The sequence below is a fragment of the Homo sapiens genome, chromosome 3 (genome assembly GCF_000001405.40).
Source record: "Homo sapiens chromosome 3, GRCh38.p14 Primary Assembly".
NCBI classification, from domain to species: Eukaryota; Metazoa; Chordata; class Mammalia; order Primates; family Hominidae; genus Homo; species Homo sapiens.
Genome location: NC_000003.12, coordinates 37,256,782 through 37,279,857, shown reverse-complemented (window position 1 = coordinate 37,279,857; position 23,076 = coordinate 37,256,782). Strand labels below are relative to the sequence as shown.

The 23,076-nt window shown below is 39.1% G+C and overlaps 1 protein-coding gene and 1 pseudogene across 22 annotated transcripts in view; both read right to left on the bottom strand.

Moving 5' to 3' along the window:
- The window catches only part of GOLGA4 (golgin A4), a 123,609-nt gene that overhangs the window by 87,022 nt on the left and 13,511 nt on the right, over nucleotides 1–23,076 (bottom strand). For 9 of the 22 annotated variants that reach the window (XM_047447981.1, XM_047447980.1, XM_005265069.4 and 6 more), the window contains 2 exons: nucleotides 12,918–13,016; nucleotides 6,257–6,322 (listed from right to left, as the gene is read on the bottom strand). The exons of 4 other annotated variants lie outside the window; for them this stretch is intronic. In XM_047447981.1, coding sequence (XP_047303937.1) covers nucleotides 6,257–6,322; nucleotides 12,918–13,016 — 165 coding nt within the window. Of the gene's footprint in view, nucleotides 1–6,256; nucleotides 6,323–12,602; nucleotides 12,631–12,917; nucleotides 13,017–23,076 lie in introns of all 22 variants that reach the window. 9 more of the 22 variants (XM_005265074.2, XM_047447985.1, NM_001429191.1 and 6 more) reach the window with 2 other exon arrangements.
- TCEA1P2 (transcription elongation factor A1 pseudogene 2) lies at nucleotides 1,706–4,321 on the bottom strand (annotated as a pseudogene).

Sequence of the window (23,076 nt, the reverse complement as noted above, 5' to 3'; positions counted from 1 at the left end):
TCAGCTCACTGCAACCTCCAACTCCCGGGTTCAAGTGATTCCCGTGCCTCAGCCTTCCAAGTAGCTGGGAATACAGGCATGTGCCACCACACCAGACTAATTTTTATATTTTCGGTAGAGAGGAGATTTCACCACGTTGGCCCGGCTGGTCTCGAACTCCTGACCTCAGGTGATCTGCCGACCTCAGCCTCCGAAAGTGCCAGTATTACAGGTGTGAGCCAACACGCTGGGCCTCTGCAGGACTTTTTAACATTTTCAACAAATCTTCATATAACAGAGCAGAAAAGAAGGAAAAAAAACACAGCAAGTAAAGCACATGAGTCTTGGCCCCACGTGGAGCATCATGGGGAACCTGCCCTTGGCGCCATCTGGCCTGCACATGTGCCACTGTATTACGCTTTGTGGGCATGCTCGCATGAGAGAATCTGGGTATGCCTGGAAAAGATCATCTTACAGCTAGAGGGCGGGGGGAAGCTTTCTTCTCTTAGGAACACTGAATAAACTATGTTGTACACCAGTGTTTTGACTCCAACTCATCACGAGGTGAGGTGTGAAGTTTTCCACTTGTGGCATCATATGGGTACTCAAAAAGTTTCAGACTTTGGAGCACATGGATTTCAGATTTCTGGATTAGGGATGTTCAATCTTTATAGGATACTTTGCCCCAGTAATAAGAGGGTCCACAGGCTGCTATGTTTTAAGAACTCTAGGATGTGCTTTTTACCATGTCTTCAACCTTGCTGTCAACTATGGTTTCCTGCTGCTGTCAATATGCTCAAACATAGTAAGCATCCCCCCGTCTTTGTGTATATACATTGTTTTTAATTTGCTAAACTCAACAATCAACTTTTCAGAAATTTGTTTAAAATAAAGGTAAACAAGCCAGACGTGATGGCTGACATCTGTAATCCCAGTCACTTGGAAGGCTGAGGTGGGAGGACTGCTTGAGCCCAGGAGTTTGAGGCTGCAGTAAGCTATGACTGCACCACTGCACTACAGCCTGGGTGACACAGAGAGACTCTGTCTCAAAAAAAAAAAAAAAAAGTAAACAAACTGAGTGAAGGCATCTTTTTGTTATGAGAATTAATGAGATCATATATGTAAAATGTTTCATATATGTCTAATACACAGTACACAATAAATACCATTTTTATCACTTTTTAAGAAAATATCTGTAATATTTAAGAAAGTGCAAAGCCCTCAGTGAGCTTATTTCCTGAATATCACCTACATTCATTCTTTACCTTAATTAAAATTCTGAATTTGTTATAAAGTTGACTCATTCAAGTTTTTGTATCCATAACTATATTTAGTCTTTTTGGACTATTCTGTGACAGAAGAAAATATGGATTTTAGGCCAGGTGTGGTGGCTCATCCCTGTAATCCCAGCACTCTGGGAGGCCAAGGCGGGTGGATCACCTGAGGTCAGGAGTTCAAGACCAGACTGGCCAACATGGTGAAACTCTGTCTCTACTATAAAAATACAAAAAATTAGCCAGGCGTGGTGTCAGGTGCCTGCAATCCCAGCTACTCAGGAGGCTGAGGCATGAAAATCGTTTGAATCTGGGAGGCAGAGGTTGCAGTGAGCTGAGATCACGCCATTACGCTCCAGCCTGGGCAAAAAGAGCAAAACTCTGTCTCAAAAAAAAAAAAGAAAAGAAAATATGCATTTTAAATCATACTCTTTAATAATATTCTTTTTTTTTATGTTTAACAACAAAAAAAACTTTATTGAATTACAAATTTTAAAATGGATCACTTAATTTAAAAGTGAGATTATTTTATTCTGAAACATTATTTCAAAAATGTACTTTGTTTTTGAAATAAAACAAAATCTTCAACTATGAACTGACAAAATAGAGGTGAGTCGGTACCAGTGGGCCAATTCTTAACATGGACATTTAAAAATGCTGCTTTCTGTATTACAACAAAATGATATGCAATAAGAAATTGGAAAAAGGGAGCAAAGGAGAGTGCAAAGCATGTACTGAGGTCTTTCTACGGGTGCCTGACAGAATGCAGATTCAGCATAAAATGTAGACTTTGCAACAGTGGCCTTTAAAGTATGCTAGAGCAAGTGTACCCTAGGGAACCTATGTCAAAACAATTTTTGTCTTACTCCAAACAGAAAAAATGGTACACACTTTAACAAAAGCAAAACTTAATTGTAAGATCTGTACTGTAAAGCTACTTGCTATAGCCCATATATTCAGTTTGTTCAACAATCTCACTCATTGACAGAAAAAGTCAGCAAATAAGACTTGGGACAAAATTATTTTCTATCAGTCTCCACATGGAAAGACCACCGCTTTAATGAATTATACAGTCCTTAAGATTAATCCTTGGTCAGTATAGATTTCCGAATCAAAATCTAGTCATGAACTGTTTACAATAGCTATACTACACTAAGATGCTAAACATTTTCTTTCCAGTATGTCTTCCTAAGAGGGGAAAAAAATAGTGGGAAGTTCTCATCTTTGCCTATGAGGGGATTTATGAAAAGCCTTCTAAACTACAACAGTGTTCTTCTGCAAAACTAAAACACATTATAAAGTCAAACAGGTAAATTAACAGGAAAACCAAACTGATCTCAATAAAGTCTTGTTTCCAAAAATCTATTAAGAACAAGTAATATACATGTACAAGAAATTACAAGAGATGATGATCACGGTTAGTTACAGATGCAAAATAATATCTAATATTCCAAGCTTGTGAACATAATAATTAAAATCAAATTCATAAGCTACCTCAAAATTATGTACATTTTAGATAAGCTGGTCAAGTATTATTTGAATACACACCATATTTGGTAAACCTAAAATTATATTACCTTTTCTCCTCCTTTAATATTTGTAGCTACATGCCAATATGGAAAAAAAAGTATTTTCATTTATGTATTAATAACAGAGAGTAACAGAATTTCTACTGTGTATGTTTCACAGTGTAAAAGAAAAAAAGTTAAGGTGTATTTTCCTTTAAGAAAGAAGAAATATTGCCAAGAGTTTAATTAATATCAACTTACTTATAAAAACAGAAAAAATATGTTTTGAAACAGGTACCATACAATTATTATATGGTCTCCCTACTGATCTGAAACTACAGAAGGCATTTAAGGAAGGGATGTTAGGTCAAAAACAAAGTCTAACTCAAGTTGCTTTAAAAATTTGATTTGCAGGAAAACTAGTTGCTTGGCCTAGTTTAAAGCTAGTTACAAAATCCGTTTTCTTAATGGTCCAGATATTTTGCCAATTCTTCCAACTCAACAGAACTTCCATCGATTTCCACATTCATTACAGACAACAAATGTTGTCACTGGTTCATCAGCACTACGGGTTTGTACCTGTGTGTAAGTGCAATTCTTCTTTTTACATTTGCCACATGTGAACAAGTCAGTCTGGGTCCCACCAGTCTTGGCCATCTGATGCTCTCTGATGGCTTCTTTGGTCAAGTTTTTCCACATCTCTTTCAGCTCATCACTAGCCATTTCCTCTGCTGTCATTCTAGCAAATAAGTCAGGAGGAATATTCCCACAGAGGACATTTTTCCTTAAATTTGGATTTTTTGCATCTTTAAGATTTGATATCCTACTTCGTACTCTATTTTTGTATTTCATGTCTGTATTCCTTATTTCTTGATATATAGCTTCTTCAATTTGAGATCCTAATTCTTCCTCATCAGCTCCAATTGCAATGTAGTCATCCCCTGTTCGAAGAGCTGCAGCAAGCATCTCCCTACACTTCAACTGCACAGAATCAGAAGTGCTTGGTGCCCGAGGAAAGGATGAAACATAAGTATCTCGAGCATTTGTCTCATCCTTTCTGTTGCTTACATTGCCGCTGGAAGTACTTTCTTCTCTTGCCTCAGGGCTGTTCTGCGATGTAATTGCAGGTTCTTTCTTCTTTTCGTCAAGGTCTTTCTCAGTTGATGGCCCATCTAATAATTTTTTCCAGGATTTGATGAGAGACTTTGCCAAAGATGTAACTTCCTCATCTGTACTCTGCTTGCGAATAGCATTAACTGACATTCCGATTCTTGTGGACTGCAGTAATTCCAGGGTCATAGGAATATTCTTAAGCTCCTTTAGCAAATCCAATGCTCCAGCCGCGTTCTTCTTCTGCACCATCTTGTCCATCTTCTTGGCAAAGCGGACCACTTCGTCCTCCATGGCTCCGGCAGGTCTTCTCCGCGCCCACCCCGCTGGCAAGGGGAAGTGGGCGAAGCTGGAGCGGAAGACACAGCAGGAGCGACCCCCGGCGCGCAGCAACCCCCACCACCGCAGGCCCGGGCCTAGGCCCCCTTCCTCACAAACGAAGCCCGCGGCCAATGATATTCTTTAAAGATCACTGGATATGTTCTGTACAGTGCTGTTTAGACTGATGCCTCCCAATATTTTACCCCTACTTCATGGCACTTATAGAAAATTATGTATTTCTAGAGAATTTGGGATTAACTGGAGTGGCTGCTCAAGACTAGAGTCAACAGACCCAGGGACTTGGGCTGTTCCCACAACCTGACCAGCCTCACTGACAGTTATGAGGATCTAAGCTCACAAGACACCTGTCCACAGAGTTTGGGAAGCTCATTTAAACATTTGTTTTTTTGGGGTTTTTTTTTTCTTTTTTTTTTTTTTTTTTTTTTTTTTGAGACGGAGTCTCGCTCTGTCGCCCAGGCTGGAGTGCAGTGGCGTGATCTCGGCCCACTGCAACCTCCGCCTCCCGGGTTCAAGCAATTCTCCTGCCTCAACCTCCTGAGTAGCTGGAATTACAGGTACCCGCCACCACGCCCAGCTAATTTTTTTTTGTATTTTTAGTAGAGACGGGGTTTCACCATGTTGGTTAGGCTGGTCTCGAACCCCTCACCTTGTGATCCACCCACCTCGGCCTCCCAAAGTGCTGGGATTACAGGCATGAGCCACCGCACCCGGCCCTAAACATTTGTTAGACAATACTTCCGAATGTTTTGTCTATGTAATTTAGTTCACAAATCATTCAGCTCATAAATCAACTTGTCTAGACTCATGCCCTGGGTTCACAGAATTAGAAATAATACTATTTTACATTAGGGACTACTAAGAACAACCAGGATGATGATAATAGTCATCACTAAAACCAAAGTCAGCAAATGTTCATCTCCAACACTGCTATCACAATTTTTTTTTTTTCCTTGAGACAGGGTCTCACTCTGTCATCCAAGCTGGAGTGCAGTGGTACAATCTCAGCTCACTGCAGCCTCCACTCCCAGGCTCAAGCAATTCACATGCCTCAGTCCCCTGAATAGCTGGGATTACAGGCACACACCACCACACCCAGCTAATTTTTGTATTTTTTTAGTAGAGACAGGGTTTCACTATGTTGGCTGGGCTGGTCTCGAACTCCTGGTCTCAAGCGATCCACCTACCTCAGCCTCCTAAAGTGCTGGGATAACAGGCATGAGCCACTGCGCCCAGCCTGCTATCATAATGATTTTTTTTTCTTCCTTTTTTGGAGGGGTTCAAACAAAAAATGACTTGAGCCCCTCTTTATAAATAACTTTTTAAAATCAAGGACAACCTAAACTCTAGTAGTAAAATACACTTTAAAGTAGAGAATACTTTAAAAGATCTCATTCCTTCATATTCCCCTTCCACCTTATATAACTCAGTATGTCTCTCAATATGGCTACCTCCATGATCTTTTATAACTATAAACTCAGATCACAGTTTTTCAAAAAGTTTTCACTTTCTCATAATTATTATTATTATCTTTTTTTTTTTTTTTTTGAGACAGAGCCTCACTCTGTTGCTCAGGCTGGAGTGCAGTGGCACAAACTCAGCTCATGACAACGTATGCCTCCTGGGTTCAAGCGATTCTCACGCTTCAGCCAACTAAGTAGCTGGGATTTCAGGCATGCGCCACTCCTGGCTGACTTTTTCTATTTTTAGTAGAGACAGAGTTTTGCCATGTTGGCCAAGCTAGTCTCGAACTCTTGGCCTCAAGCGATCCGCCCACCTCAGCCTCCCAAAGTGCTGGGATTACAGACAGGCGGGAGCCACAGTGCCTGGCCTTGCATTAATTTTTAAAATGAGAAATAATACAGTCTTGCTTTCATTTAAAACTTTTTCCAAGAAACCATGAGCAAACCTGTGTTTACCATATATACTGTACTGAATATTTGGACATCACCATTTCAATGTAAAGTCAGATGCTAATAATTAACACAGACTGACCAACACTCTGAAATGACTTGTTATTTTCTAAAATAACAATTAGTAACAGACCTGAGGAATGCTTGGTTCACTTCCATTAACACTGTCAGGAGATTTCGAGGCATGAGTAGATGCATTCTAAGAAAAAGAAAGAAACATTGTAAAGCAAAAGAACAAAAAACTAAAGGTTTAAAACTGTTAAGAATAAAGCCCATGTGCCAAGACCTATCAGATACATTTATCTATTAAACAAAATTAGTAATTGTTCATTTATTAGAATGTTTTCATGCAAGGCAAAACTATTGTAGTATGGTAAGTATTTTAGAAAATTCATTTTGCTGTAATACACAGAACTCAATAGCAAAGATTAGTATGTAGAAAAACCTATTTCAAGCTAGTCACATACCTCTTCCCATTATGTCCCCAGTTTTTCCCCCATAACAAAAATCAACATCAGGGAATCAATGCACAAATCTCACTCAAACAGAAAACTATCCAGAAAAGGAAGTAATTTCAATTTTTTCCTACAATAAAATAATACTCAAAATTATTTGGGCTAAGCTCTGAAAAATATCTTGATAGCAAGAAACGGTAATGTCTCATTCATTTGAAGTTAGCAATCTAAATGAAATGATAATTTTCAGAAGAACTTAAAAACCTCTTCTTCCACACGCGAAAGATTTTTGTTTTGTTCTGTTCTGTTGGTATGCCAAAGGCTCCCAGTTAAGCAACATTCTACTGATTACATCATACTGGCATAGATTTCATGATACTAGATGAGATTCTTTGAGGTTCAAAATTCTACACTGCATTTATAATACATTGTCTAACTAAAATTAGTTAGAACTATAGAAGTAACTCATGATAAAATAACTTCCATGTTTTAAACAAAAATATTCCACCAAATGCCAACCACTATGTTTCAGTAGTTACATCTTGCATTTCCCCTTGGTCTAGAGCTGACCAAGGAAAGGCAAATATCTGACCTAACTTATTCTTAAGTGAAAAAGGTGCTCAGTTTTGCAAACGTGTTTTCTACTTTTTGAACATTGATTAAGTAGTTTGATGGTAGGAAATTATTAATTTTTAGGTGTGATAAATAATATTGTGGCTAAAATTTTTTAATCCTTTTTTTCTGAGACAGGGTCTTGCTCCATTGCCCAAGATGGAGTGCAATGACATGCTCACAGCTGACTACAGCCTCAAGCTCCCAGTCTCAAGGGATCCTCTCACCTCAGCCTCCTCAGTAGCTGGGACTACAGGTGTGCATTACCAGGTCCAGCTAATTTTTGTACTTTTTGTAGAAACAGGGTTTCCCCATGTTGCCCAGGCTGGTCTCAGGTGATCTGCCCTCCTCAGCTTCCCAAAATGCTGGGATTACAAGTGTGAGCCACCATGCCCAACCATCTTTATCTTTTAGAGTAGTGGTCTCCAACCTTTTTGGCACCAGGGACGGGTTTCATGAAAGACAATTTTTCTACAGACCGGGGGTGCAGGGATGGTTTTGGGATGATTCAAATGCATTACATTTATTGTGCACTTAATTTCTATTATTACACTGTAATATATAATAAATAATTATTCAACTCACCATAATATAGAATCAGTGGGAGCCCTGAGCTTGTTTTCCTACAACTAGACAGTCCCATCTGGGGGTGATGGGAGACAGTGACAGATCATCAGGCATTATATTCTCATAAGGAGCATGCAACCTAGATCCCCCGTATGCACAGTTCTCCACAGGGTTCACGCTCCTATGACAATCTAATGTCACCACTGATCTAACAGGAGGCAGAGCTCAAGTGGTAATGCGGGTGATGGAGACCAGCTGTAAATGCAGATGAAGTTTCACTTGCTTGCCTGCCTCTTACCTCCTGCTGTGCAGCCCAGTTCCTAAAGGGCCACGGACCTGTGCCTGGAGGTTGGGAAGCACTGTTTTAGAGATATATACCAAAATATTTACTGATGGAACAGAACTTCTGAAATTTGCTTCAAATATCCAATGGGGTGGGAGTGGGGAAGCCAGGGGGAGCTGCACAAGTAGGCAAAATGGTAGTGGTACGGTCAGGGAAGTGTAGGGGTAGGCTAATAGATAAAACAAGATGGCCATGAGTTATTAATTATTGGCATTGGGTAATAGATATGGGGAGGGGTTCTTGTACCAATACTACTACTATTTCCACTTTTGTAATATGTTTCAACTTTTCCCTAATAAAGACAAACTTTAAGTACCTCCTCTTCCCTCTAATAAAAAGCTATCAAATTTCATCAGTCTAAGACATTTCCTTAAAGTTAGATGGGGAAGAAAGGTTGGGAGAACATAGGAATTAACTTTTATCTTCCAGTTGCCTACATGGCATCTACCTGTGTGACATTACAATGAATGCCTTCTAGGTCTAAAAATATAATATACTACATACTATAAAGCAAGGGTCACAAATCTCTGGGCCACAGTCCAGTATCAACTCATAGCCTGTTAGGAACGGGGCCACACAGCAGGAGAGCGGTGGGTGAGCAAGCGAAACTTCATGTGCATTTACACCTGCTCCCCGTCACTCGCATTACCACCTGAGCTCTGTCTACTGTCAGATCAGTGGTGACATTAGATATTCATAGAAGTGCGAACTCTGCTGTGAACTGTGCATATGAAGGATCTAGGTTGCGTGGTCTTAATGAGAATGTAATGCCTGATGATCTGTCACTGTCTCCCATCACCCTCAGAAGGGACCATCTAGTTGCAGGAAAACAAGCTCAGGGCTCCCACTGATTCTACATTGTCACGAGTTATATAATTACTTCATTACGTATTACAATGTAATAATAACAGAAATAAAGTACACAGTAAATGTAATGCGCTCGAATCATCCCAAAACCATCCCTGTGCCCCCAGTTCATGGAAAAACTGTCTTCCATGAAACCAGTCCCTGGTCCCAAAAAGGTTGGGGACAATTGCATAAAATACAAAATATACTTTACAGAGATCAACAATTCTCTTGGCCAGTTAATATACTGAAAATTAATAAACAAATTATGGAGAAAGGAAATGAAGGGGCTCCATAAAATATTTAGCTTAAGAGGAAGAACAGCAAGAGTCCATATTCTGTTTTAAGTAAATGACTTGACACATGATTGTGGTCCATACAAAAAAGCTACACTGGGCTGGTGTTGTGGCTCATGCCTGTAATCCCAGCACTTTGGGAGGCCGAAGCAGGTGGATCACCTGAGGTAAGGAGTTCGAGACCAGCCTGGCCAATATGGTGAAACCCCATCTCTACTAAAAATATAAAAATTATATTTTCTATAAAAACGTCGTGGTGGCAGGCACCTGTAGTCCCAGCTACTCGGGAGGCTGAGGCAGGAGAATCGCTTTAATCCTGGAGGCAGAGGCTGCAGTGCGCCAAGATGGTGTCACTGCACTCCAGCCCGGGCAACAAAGTGAGACTCCACCTCAAAAAAAAAAAAAAAAAAAAAGCTACAACTGGCCGGGCTCAGTGGCTCATGCCTATAAACCCAACACTTTGGGAGACCGAGGCAGGCAGATCACCTGAGGTCAGGAGTTCAAGACCAGCCTGGCCAACATGGTGAAACCCCATCTCTACTAAAAATAAAAAAGTTAGCCAGGCATGGTGGCGAGCACCTGTAATACCAGCTGCTTGGGAGCCTGAGGCAGGAGAATCACTGGTACCTGGGAGGCAGAGATTGCAGTGAGCTGAGATCACAACACTGCACTTCAGCCTGGGTGACAGAGCGAGACTCTGCCTCAAAAAAAAAAAAAAAAAAAAAAAAAAGCTACCCTACAATTGTTTGAAATATCACCCCATTAAGCACACAGAGAACAACATTTAAAAACTTCTCCTCATATATATATTTCAATTTATGTACTAAACCACATATCTAAATAAATGCAGGATAGCTTATGAAAAGTACTGGCCTAAGTTGCCCTGTGAATTTACATTACGAATATTTAGAAGTAAAATTAGAGATCTGTCACTATTTGTAATGCCTTCTCCATTTGTGCCAAACTTTTGTACATCTTTCAGCTTTCAAATTTTGTGAAGCTCTGTATGTGAAGTTTTATACGGTTCCTGGAAGGCTAACACATTCCTTATGCCTATTTTTTTTTTCTGTGAAGCCTTAATTCCTTTGTACTTTAAGTGTATGTTGACATGTTTGTCTCCAAAGTAAACTATAAACTCTCAAGAGGACAGAGCCCTACATTTTCTTCTCTTTTTTTCTCCCTTCAACTTTTAAGTTCAGGGGTACATGTTCAGGATGTGCAAGTCTGTTACATAGGTAAACGTGTCCCATGGTGAGAATGCTACCATTTTCATCTTAGTCCCCATGACCTAATATTTTGCCTGACTAGTAGTAAGGGCTCAATAAATGCTTATTAAATCCTTATGCAGTTGCTTCCTCTGAAGGCTTTCCCCTAGCGAGGTGCCTGTAGAACTAGCTCAATACATGTCAATACTCAAAACTCACCAATACTTTCTACAGGGGAAAATTAGATAAAAACTCTTTTAAAGTATATTCAACTTAAAAGCACACACAGGTTCCCTGACAGACTTGTCTTCAATTACATATTGTTTCAATCTTTCAACAACCATTGCATTGACTGCTGAGCACCAAGGTTACGGTAATTTTAGAATTTGGGGTAAACAGCTGCATTTTTCAAAAAACTTAACTAAGCAAAAGTCAGTACCTACTGAACTTGTAATGGATTAGACCCTCACTAAATTTTTATTCTAATATGGGATATGCTATGGTTTCCCTTGTTCCATTGGGAGAAATAAGTTTCTGACTAGGCTGGGCGTAGTGGCTCAGGCCTGTAATTCCAGCACTTCAGGAGGCCGAGGCAGGTGGATCACTTGAGCCTGAGTTCCAGACCAGCCTGGCCAAAATGGCGAAACCCCATCTCTACTAAAAATAGAAAAGTTAGCCAGGTATGGTGGTGCGCATCTGTGGTCCCAGCTACTTGGGAGGCTGAAGTGGGCGGATCACCTGAGCTTAGGAGGTAGAGGTCGCAGTGAGCCGAGATCGTGCCACTGCACTCCAGCCTGGGTATCAAAAGAAAAAAAAAGTTCTCTCTCAAAAGAAAAAAAAGGTTTTAAAGCCCCACTTTAACATTATTAGCATTTTCAACAACAGAATAAGTACTCAATACAAATGACTTTAATGTACTTATGGAAGTGGCCCTAGGAGAACCTTTACGGTTTTTTTTTTAATAGCTTCTATTACTACTACATGAAAATATAAAGCAATATTATTTTATGCTTTTCAAAGTAAATTGGGCCAGACATAGTGGCTCATGTCTGTAATCCAAGCACTTTGTGAGGCTGAGGCAAGAGGATCACCTGAGGCCAGGAATTCAAGATGAGTCTGAGCAATATTCTGAGACTCTCTCTCTAAAAAGACTAAAATAAGATGAGCTGGGCATGGTGGCATATGTCTGTGGTCCCACATACTTGGGAGGCTGAGGAAGAAGGACTGCTTGAGCCCAGGGATTTGAGGGTGTAGTGAGCCGTGATTGTACCACTGCATTCCAGCCTGAACAACAGAATGAGACCCCACTCAAACAAATATAAATAAATAAATAAAAACAGTAAACAAGTCTCTCTAATTGGGACTTCTGATTCCCTCCCAAATCAGTTTTTAAAACAATGAGATATTACTTGTAGCCAGAGCCAAGGAGAGACCACTTTTCCCTGAGACCCAAGCTAAGCCATCACTAGAAATCCCATTATCTCCCTAGCTGCTTTCTTTTCTAAAACTGAGTTTACAATGTAATTTAAGACTGCTACTGGCCATATGCATACCAAGTCTTCACTGGCTACATGGTTCAAGTACCGAAATGTTCTACTTCCATCACCAGCTACCTAATAAGTTAAATCAATTCTTATTGTTTAGAAAAACCTCAATCCAATGGTGTTTGCCACATTTCTCCATTGTAAACTTTTCTTTTGTTTTTGTAATTAATAAATAGATTTGTGGAACAATTTTTTAAAAAAAGAAAGAAAAACCTCAATCCCAGTAGAGTCAGTGTTTAACACCAAAGGCTATCCTTACTGGACAAACATCTCTAAACTTTAATTTGCTAAATTATGAGCTTACCAGATACTTTCAATAGGAAAATGTCCACTTTCCCAAAATGAAATTACATACAAGATTCAAAACCGTATGACGCCAGTCACTTAAAAACAAATGAGACAATTCTCTTTCAGATGTTTAATATATAAAAAACAGGTAACTGCAAAATAAGATGCAATTATCTAATACAGTAGAATCTACCTACCTATTCAATGCTGTTTAATTATGGATTTACATAACAACGAATTTTTCCCCTAAAAATGTAAGTCATATCTCAAAATATTCTTAACCGCCCATCAATAGTAGAACAGAGATTTGTAGCACTGCATACCTTTTTTTAGTTAATGAACAAACATTCCCTAGGAAAAAAAGAGGTTAGAGTAAGCGAAGGTAGCTTCATTACTGAAGTAGCTACATTAGCGAAAACAGTGTTATTTTTGTTGCAGTTACAAAGCTACCAGGAAGCACACCAGCCATCAGAATTCAGCAATTTACTCTCTGATTTTTTTAGAGCAGGGTTAGCAACAGGACACTGAAGATACTTTGAGAGATGGTAAGTGGCAAGTAACATGAGATTTGCTTCTACAATTGCCAAATTACTTTGCTTCCCCACAAAGGGAATGCAGAAAGCGGTGGAAGGACTCACCACACTGTCACTCTGTGTTTTAGGATGTTTGGAGGAATCCAAAGCAAAGATAGTATACTCAGAGAGAAAAGCAGGCTCTGCTATCATCCCGGCTAGTAGCTGTCTCATTCAGTGTAATAAGCAAAAGTACAAAAATAAAACAAATGATGAAAAACAAATCATAATGGCATGTTGCAAAGTGTTCTCACCACGCAGCATGCATAACACTATAATGGCCTTCAGTACCACCATCACCACCACCACCACCACCATCTCACCCACAGAAATAATAAGCTGCTGGAAAATATCAGGAATGGAGATGCGTGATCAGTTTAGGATCTCAAAATCCAATCTATGAACAACTTGCTTATTGGCATACAAATGATATAGGCAATAGGAACCACCGCACACAGAGTGCCTGGCACTCTGTTATAAAAATCAATACCAATTAACAACAATACATGGGCCGGGCGCAGTGGCTCAGGCCTGTAATCCCAGCACTTTGGGAGAGTGAGGTGGGCAGATCACGAGGTCAGGAATTCAAGATCAGCCTGACCAATATGGTGAAACCCTTTATCCACTAAAAATACAAAAATTAGCCAGGCATAGTGGTGCGCACCTGTAGTCCCAGCCACTCAGGAGGCTGAGGCAGGAGAATCGCTTGAACCTGGGAGGCGGAGGTTGCAGTGAGCCGAGATCGTGCCATTGCACTCCAGCCTGGGTGACAGAGTGAGACCATTGCACTCCAGCCTGGGTGACAGAGTGAGACTCTATCTCAAAAAAACAAAACAAAACAAACAATAAAAAAATACATGACAGGACATAGTTTCAGACACGCAAGCTACGTAAGTTATCGAGATCTTCTCTATAGCATAGTGCCTACAGTTAACAATACCGTATTATAACGTTAAAATTTTTTTTTTTTTTTTTTTTTTTGAGACAAGGTCTAGCTCCATCACCCAGGCTGGAGCACAGTAATGCAATCTCGGATCACTGTACCCTCCACCTCCTGGACTCAAGCCATCTTCCACCTCAGCCTCCTGAGTAGCTGGGACTACAGGCGCACATCACTATGCCTGCTAATTTTTGTAGAGACGGGGTTTCACCACATTACCCAGGCTGGTCTCGAACTCCTGAGCTCAAGCGATCCACCTGCCTCAGCCTCCCAAGTACTAGGATTACAGGCATAAGCCAGCACAACCGGCCTAAAATTTTCTAGAAAAGTAGATCTTATGTTACTTCTTACCACAAATAGTAACAGTGGGGGTAGGAGGAAACTTTGGGAGGTAATAGATATGTCTATGGCCTTGATGGTGGTGATGGTTTCACAGGTGTATACTTAACACCAAATTCATCAAATTGTATACATTAAGTATGTACAGCTTTTTACATGTCAATCATACCTCAGTAAAGTGGGCTTAAAAATGCATAGTAAAGAACACAAAGTCTTAAGAATAACATTTATAAATACTGACCCATTTTTACATATTCAAAAAATAGCATGAGAACACATGGAGAAGATAAAACATAAAAAACTTTAATCATTTATTTGTACTTACATACCACATTATTTTTCTCTAAAGTATGTACAGAAGAAACATTTGAAACTCTATAAGTTTAAAGACATTTTCTGTTACACTAGTGCTTCTGGTATATATTATCTTCTGTGCTTTAGTTTTCTTTCAGAAACTGTATACTACACACCAAAATACTGACAAACATTAATTAGATGTACAATAAATTATAATCAGAATGAATTTTTTGATGAGGGAGGTTACACAAATCTACACATAATAAAATTGTATAGAATTATACACACACACACACACACACACACACACACAATATGAGCATGTAAAACTGGTAAAATCTGAATAAGTTCTGTGGATGTCACAGATTACCAATGTCAGTTTCCTTGTTTGGACAGTGTACTATGGTTATATAAGGTGTTACTACTGGGGAGAAATGGGTGATGGGTATATAGGGCCTCCCCCACAAAAGATGTTAGAACCTCCTATGAATCTATAATTATTTCTAAATAAAAACTAAAACCAGCCTGGACAACATAACAAAACCCACTCTACAAAAAATACAAAAAATTTGCCAGGCATGGTGACACAGACCTGTAGTCCCAGCTACCTGGGAGGCTGAGGTAGGAGGCTCGCCTAAGCCCAGCAGTGAGCTGTGATCACACCACAGCACTCCAGCCTGAGCAAAAGAGTGAGATCCTGCCTCCAAAAAAAATTTTTGAAACATGAATTTAGCAGTTAATATATTATCTAACATGGTGATAAATTACATATACCATATATAATAACATCTGAAAAAAAAAGTCTGCAAAAGCTTAAGAATATAAACTTTTCACTCAGTACTGCAGAGTTATGAATACTAACTAGAGCCTTAACTAACTGTTCATTTGGTCCTACATTAGAGACCATCATAATTATAAATAGGAAAAACATTTCAAAGTCTTTTATATTATGTAATAACTAGTACTTCTTAGACAGGATTCAGCAATTAACTTTACACTAAATTCTCAATTTTAGTATTAGTAGTATACTAAAATATGCTAAATGCCTCTTTGGCTCTAGGGTATCATCATATCCAAGTTTCTACTCCTGCTGAAAATCTTACTCTCCCAGGAACTCAGATCATCCTTTGAATGGATGTTAAATTTAAGTTAAAGGCTATAAAAAATTCACTTTTCTTAGACTTCCAAAGTTAATTTTTGTAATGAAGTCGCTCTTGCCCACATTAGAAAATAATTCAAAACTTCAGAGGAGTATATTTGAAATTTTAAAAGAAAAACACAAAGGCTAATGCCCAGCACAGAAAAATGTCCACCATTTCAAGATGTGCTGCCAAACAAAAATGTACACTATGACCTCTAACCCTAGCAAAAGCAAAGTATATCAAAATTAGTGTCCACTGACAGTCATCTCAAAGCCTAAGAAATCTTTGTTGACCTTGTTATTTCCTTCTTATGCCTGAGAAAGTCTCGCAAGCAACAGTTCTCTAATATTCTCACTAAGATTCTGTCTCAACTCCATCACTCAAACTCTGTTCAAATTGAAAACCAATTCTGCTGCAATTCTGCTAAGGATTTAATTCACCTCTTCTGTGTGGTTCCCCAGTGAAGCCATCAGTTGAATCAACACTGAAGTTATATGTGTCTGAACATTCATGAAGACTATTTGAAACTCTCAGCAGATATGCGTCGAAGGCTTTCAATCTATGTCTCATACTCTCATATATATATGCGTGTGTATATCAAAGTATATCAAAATTAGTGTCCATTGGCAGCCACCTTAAAGCCTAAGGAGTCTTTGTTGACCTTGTTATTTCCTTCCTAAATAAACACACATACATATATGAGAGTGTGAGACGTGGAGGATATACAGTCTTGCACTGCTTAACAATAGGGAGGGGATACATGCTGAGAAATGTGTTGTTAGGCCATTTTGTCATGTGAACATCATGGAGGGGTGTCCAAGGGAGAGAATACAGCCATCGGTTCTTAGTTTCTGTTCCTGGTTGGATCAGTAAGGACCCTTCCTCATCCCTCTTTCCCGCTTATCACTAGAGACAGAAACTAAAAACCATGCCTTTAGGCTGCTAAAAGACTAAAACAAAACACAGAACAAGAACAACAGCAAAATAAGCTGGGTTGGACAAGCATACTTACACAAACCTAGATGGCATAGCATACTACATACCTAGGATACATGGTAGAGCCTATTGCTCCTACGCTACAAACTAGTCCATCCTGTTACTGTACTGAACATCGTAGGTGGCTGTAATACAATGGTAAGTATTTATCTATGTAAACATAGAATAAGCATAGTAAAACTACAGAATAAAAGAAAAAATGACACAACTCTATAGGGCACTCATTTATCATGAATGAAGATTGGCAGGACTAGAAATTGTTCTGGGTGAGTCAGTGAGTGAGTGGTGAGTGAAGGTGAAGTCCTAGGACATTACTGTGAGCTTTTATACCACTGGCATCACCACAAACACATTACAACAACTACATGTCACCAGGCAATAGGATTTTTTCAACTCCATTATAATCTTATGGGACTACTGTCATATATGCAGTCCATCACTGAACAAAACATCATTATGAGGCACATCATATATTTTTCCTTAATCTCGGTGGTTTTGGTAGGATTACTCAGTATTTTTTGTCTGTTTGTTTTTGTTTTTTAAATAAAAATAAATAGGGACAGGGTTTTGCCATGTTGCCCAGAATAATCTTGAACTCCTGGGCTCTAGCAATCCACCTGCCTCCGCCTCCCAAACTGCTGGGATTACAGGCATGAGCCATCAGGCCTAGCCACAGTGTTCTTTCTGAATTCTATAATTTTCTCTTTAACTGGCATCAGTCTGAGTTTTATTGTGATTTACATGTTTACATCAATTTTTTTTTCATTTCCAGGATTTTTTTCTTTTTTTTGAGATGGGAGTCTCACTCTGTCACCCAGGAAGTGGTGCCATCTCAGCTCACTGCAACCTCCACCTCCCGCGTTCAACTAATTCTCCTGCCTCATTCAGCCTCCCGAGTAGCTGGGATAACAGGTATGTGCCACCACACCCAGCTAATTTTTGTATTATTAGTAGAGATGGGGTTTTGCCATGTTGGCCAGGCTGGTCTTGAACTCCTGGCCTCAAGTGATCTGCCCGCCTTGGCCTCCCAAAGTGCTGAGATTACAGGCGTGAGCCACCACGCCCGGCCAATTTCCAGGATTTCTAATTAGTTATTTTTCGTATCCATCTAGTCTAGTTTTGTTTTGGCCTCTTTTTCTTCTACAATTTTCTGTTCTTTTTAAGAAAATTATTACTTCCTTTTTCTTATGGAAGAAAGTTGTTTTAAAGTAATTTCCAGACTGTTGTATTACTTTAATTTCATCTGGAGTAAATATGTCTTAATCTCTGTTTTTACTGGTGGCCTTCTTAGCATTTATTTTAGAATTTTCATTTACAGGCTCATCTTGAAAAAGGTATTATCTTTGTCCTTCCTTCTGTGCTCATCCCTCCTTATCCAGCCAATCTGATACCCAAGGCCTTGGTTCAGGTTTCTTACCTTATGGCAATATAGGGGTTATCACAAACTCAATCACTAAGATAATGTGAGGCTGGATTCGATTCTTGGTCATGAGGCCTCCCTAAGGACAGCAGTTTCCCATAATGGACCACTGAGAGCTCTAGGCAGCAGTTAGTGACAGCTTTTTTCAACTTCCTTTCACCAGTGCTAGGAGCCCCACATTAGCTCTCAGCTTGTAACACAAAATCTCCTCTGTATAGAACATTTCCAGTCCTTCTCAACCAGAGTTCAAAGAGAAAATTAAATCCAAATGCCTGTATACAATGAATTAATGTATCTACTGTGTATATATAGCATGGTACTAGTTTCATACCATACTTGGAAGAATTAAAAACTGCAGTTACTCAAATCATTTTCCATAGGGCTTAATTCTCTCACAAAACCCTAGTTGAAAATGGCTGCCTTTGTCCCAACCCCAAACCCTCTAGGACCAAGGATTCATTCCCTCTCAGCCCAAGGAGATGTTTACCTTGTTTGTGAACTCAGATACATGTCTCAATGTTTTTTAAGTTTTATCTACTACTTCCATGACTGAAACAGCAAGGGTGCCTCAAGGGTCAAATCACAGCATGATTTGACCGAAAGTCCTAAAGTCTTCCAGGTGAGGATTTAGCATGTTAGGCAGCATGCCACTGTGACTGATTATTTCCAACAACAACCAGCAGACTTTTTTCTTTTTTTTTTGAGATAGGGTCTTGCTCTGTCACCAAGGGTGGAGTGCGGTGGCGCAGTCATGGCTCACTGCAACCTCGACCTCCTGGGATCAAAAAATCTTCCTACTTAAGCCTCTTAAGTAGCTTGGGACCACAGGTGCACACCACCACACCTGGCTAATTTTTTTTTTTTTTTTGGTAGAGACAGGGTCTCACTATGTTGCCCACACTGGTCTCCAACTCCTGGGTTCAAGCATTCCTCCTGCTGCAGCCTCCCAAATTGCCGGGATTACAGGTGTGAGCCACCACATCCAGCCTAGCAGTCCTTTCCCATGTGAAAAAACTTCTTTGAAATTCCTTGAAAAACTATTATTATTTATTTCAGTGATTTTTAGATTCCTTTTCACTCATAGGCAACAAAGGCTTGATTATCATCTCTCATGTGTAATACTGGGGGAAGGGCCTAAAAAGTTTAGTGCCTTAGCAAAAAACTTTAGTGTCTTAGCAAGGGTGTAAATCCCTCTGCCTCAAAGACAGATGGCCCTGTTTCTTTTTTTTTTTTTGAGACGGAGTTTCACTCTTGTTGCCCAGGCTGGAGTGCAGTGGCATAATCTTGGCTCACTGGAACCTCTCTACCTCCCAGGTTCAAGCGATTCTCCCGCCTCAGCCTCCTGAGTAGCTGGGATTACAGGTGCCCGCCAACATACCTAGCTAAGTTTTTATATTTTTAGTAGAGACAGCGGGGGTGGGGTGGGTTTCACCATGTTGGCCAGGCTGGTCTCGAACTCCTGACCTCAAGTAATCCACCCTACTCGGCCTTCCTAGGTGCTGGGATTACAGGCATGAGCCACCACACCTGGCAGATGGCCCTGTTTCTATCTTCCCAGATACTGTTAAGTACAACTGTTAGTAGAACCCTTATGATTTTGGGTCAATTAAATTCATCCAACCTGTGGCCCAGGATGGCTTCGAATGAGGCCCAACACAAGTTCATAAACTTTCTTAAAACATTATGAGACTTTTTTGCTTTTTTTTTTTTTTTTTAGCTCATCAACTATTATTAGTGTTAGCGTATTTGATGTGTGGCCCAAGACAATTCTTCTTCTTTCAATGTGCCCAGGGAAGCCAAAAGATTAGACACCCCTGTAAAAAGTACCTGTGATAATATACTCTACAGAAGATCCAAGAATAAAATGGTTTACAGTAGCAGCAGGTGAAGAAATATCCAGTACAGAATGTGGTAAATCATGTTGATCAAATTCAAGACCACAACTCAAGGCTCTATTTTGTCTATATAGATAGTTTTACTACATAGAAAGCCTTTAAACAAAATGACAGCATAAAAGGACAAGGTATCTAACTTTCTCTAGTCTTAATCGCCAATGAAAAGACCAAGGGTATATAAGATGGGAAAAAACATGTATCAGCCCAGAAACCAGGAAAGAAGATGCAATTTAGATTCAAGGAGGTTTTGCGAAGTCCATGAACTCCTCAGCCCTAAGTAAAATAAGTAATCAAAGATCAGCTTTCCACTCCAATTATGAGAATACTCAGCATATGCAACAAGAAAGTGGAACCAAAGGTTTGTTCTTCAAAAGATCAACAAAATTGACAAACCATTAGCTAGACTGACAGAGGGGAAAAAAGAAGACTCATATCATGAAAATCAGGAATGAAAAAGAAGAAATTACCCGAGTGTGCAGAAAAGGATTACAAAGCTATACTATGTGTTAAAAGCAAAGGTTTTTGCCTCATTTGAGCATGGGCTGCTTAGTTAGCAGCCTGCAATTGACAGACTTGACTGCTGTGACTGCCTGAGACTCAGGAGCTGTTACAAAAACTACATTCCTAATTTAGGATTTCAGTTTGTTTATGTACAAGTTAGGCTACAGTTCCTTACAGAGGGACTCAAGATATACAGGTAGGCTCAGGCCAAATTTAGTTTAATTTATGCCAACAAATGAGATAAATGAAATGGACAAACTCCTAGAGATACACAAATTACCAAAACTAACTCAGGAAGAAGCAAAATCTGAACAGAGCTATAAAAAGTAGATACTGAATTAGTTATCAGAACACTTCCCTCAAAAAAAAGCCCAGGACACATGATTTCAATGGTAGATTCTACCAAACATTTAAAGAATTAATAGCAATTCTTCACAAACTCTTGAAAAAATACAAGAGAGGTGAACACTTCCCAACTCGTTTCATGGGGGCTGTATTACTGATACAAAAACCAGATTATCACAAAAAAAGAAAACTGCAGACCAGCATCTCTTATGAATATAGACACAAAAATCCTCAACAAAATACTAATGAATCAATCCGGTAATATATAAAAAAGATTATATACAAGAAACAAGTGACATTTATTGCAGGAATACATGGTTAATTTAACCTCTGAAAACCAATTAATACGATATTCAATATAATAAAGGATTTAGGAAGGAATGTTTCTCATGTATTACTTTGAAGATACTTCCCAGTAATCCCTAAAACGATGCCTTTAAGCCATATAAGCCTTGAAACATAAAATAAATCTCTAAAATGTGCTTAAGAATTCTCAACAACTGGGGCCAGGTGTGGTGGTTCATGCCTGTAATCCCAGCACTTTAGGAGTCCAAGGTGGGCAGATCACTTGAGGTCAGGCATTCCAGGCCAGCGTGGCCAACATGGTGAAACCTCATCTCTACTAAAAACACAAGTATTAGCTGGGTGTGGTGGCACATGCCTGTAATCCCAGCTATTCAGGAGGCTGAGGCAGGAGAATCACTTGAACCTGGGAGGTAGAGGTTGCAGTGAGCTGAGATCATGCCACTGCACTCCAGCCTGAGCAACAGAGCATATATATACAGAGCATATATATATACAGACAGCATATATATATGCTCTCTATATATATATATGCTCTATATATATCATATATATGCTCTATATATATGCTCTCTATATATGCTATATATCTCATACATATACAGAGCATATATATATGCTATATATATCATACATATACAGAGCATATATATGCTATATATATAGCATACATATACAGAACATATATATATACAGAGCATATATATATACACACATATATATATACAGAGCATATATATATACACACATATATATATACATATATACATACATATATATATGTATGTATATATACATATATACATACATATATATATGTATGTATATATACATATATACATACATATATATATGTATGTATATATACATATATACATACATATATATGTATGTATATATACATATATACATACATATATATATATATATATATGTATATATATGAAAACACACCTAATTCTGGAATTTAATTTAAAAACAATATGAAAGTTGTTTGTGGATAAGGCCCCAGGATAACAATGGACATGGTTACTATGGCCTCTAATAAATAAGGAAGTGTCTCAGGAAGACAGCAAACCAGAGAGAGCAGGATAGGAGGCAAAATGAAGCTATCAATCCTTCCTTCATAAATTCAATAGGCAAAGTGACACAGAGATAACATCCCTAGGACCCTAATCCACATAATAGTACATCTGTTCCCCTCCCCTCACACAAAGACCTAAAAAGAGGAAGGGGAGCAGCCCCTCCCCTCTTCCAAGCCTGTCCCTAATAACTTAGTTAGCACCTACTACGTGCAAGGTACCACACTAGAGATGTACATGCCTTCTTACTGGTAATCCCCAAAACTTCAAAAATTTCTCATTTTACAAATGAGAAAACCTGAGACTGAAAAGTTAACTTTAATAGATCTTTCAGTCAGCAAACAGCAAAGACAGGATGTAAACTTGGGCTGATCCAGGTAACACCAAAAACCATCCTTTCCTCACCAGTCTATTCCAGGTCTTATTCCAGGTACTAATACAGTACATAGATTTTTACTCCCTTAAAAAAAATCATTAGACTCAGTTATAAAAAGAAAGTAGATACATGCTACAACACAAATGAATCTTGAAAACATTAAGCTAAGTAAAAGTGGTCAGACACAAAAGGTAACATATCGAATGATTCCATTTATATGAAATATCCAGAAAAGGTAAATCCATTAAGACAGAAAGCAAATTAATGGTTGCTAGGGGTTGGAGGAAGGAGTGGGAATGACTGCTTAATCAGCATGGGGTTTCATTTTGGGGTGATGGAAATGTTATGGAACTAGATAGATGTGATGAATGTACAACACTGGGAATGTACTGAACGCTACTTAATTGTTTGCTTTAAATGGTTAATTTATGTTATATGAATTTAAACTCAATTAAAAAAAAAAAATCAGGGTCCCTTGAGCCCAGGAGTTGGAGGCCAGCCAGAGCAACATAGTGATACCCTATCGCTGAAAAAGTCCAGGTCCAATCTGGAGTGGGGCAGAGGATAGGAGGATGTTAGCTTCATTTGC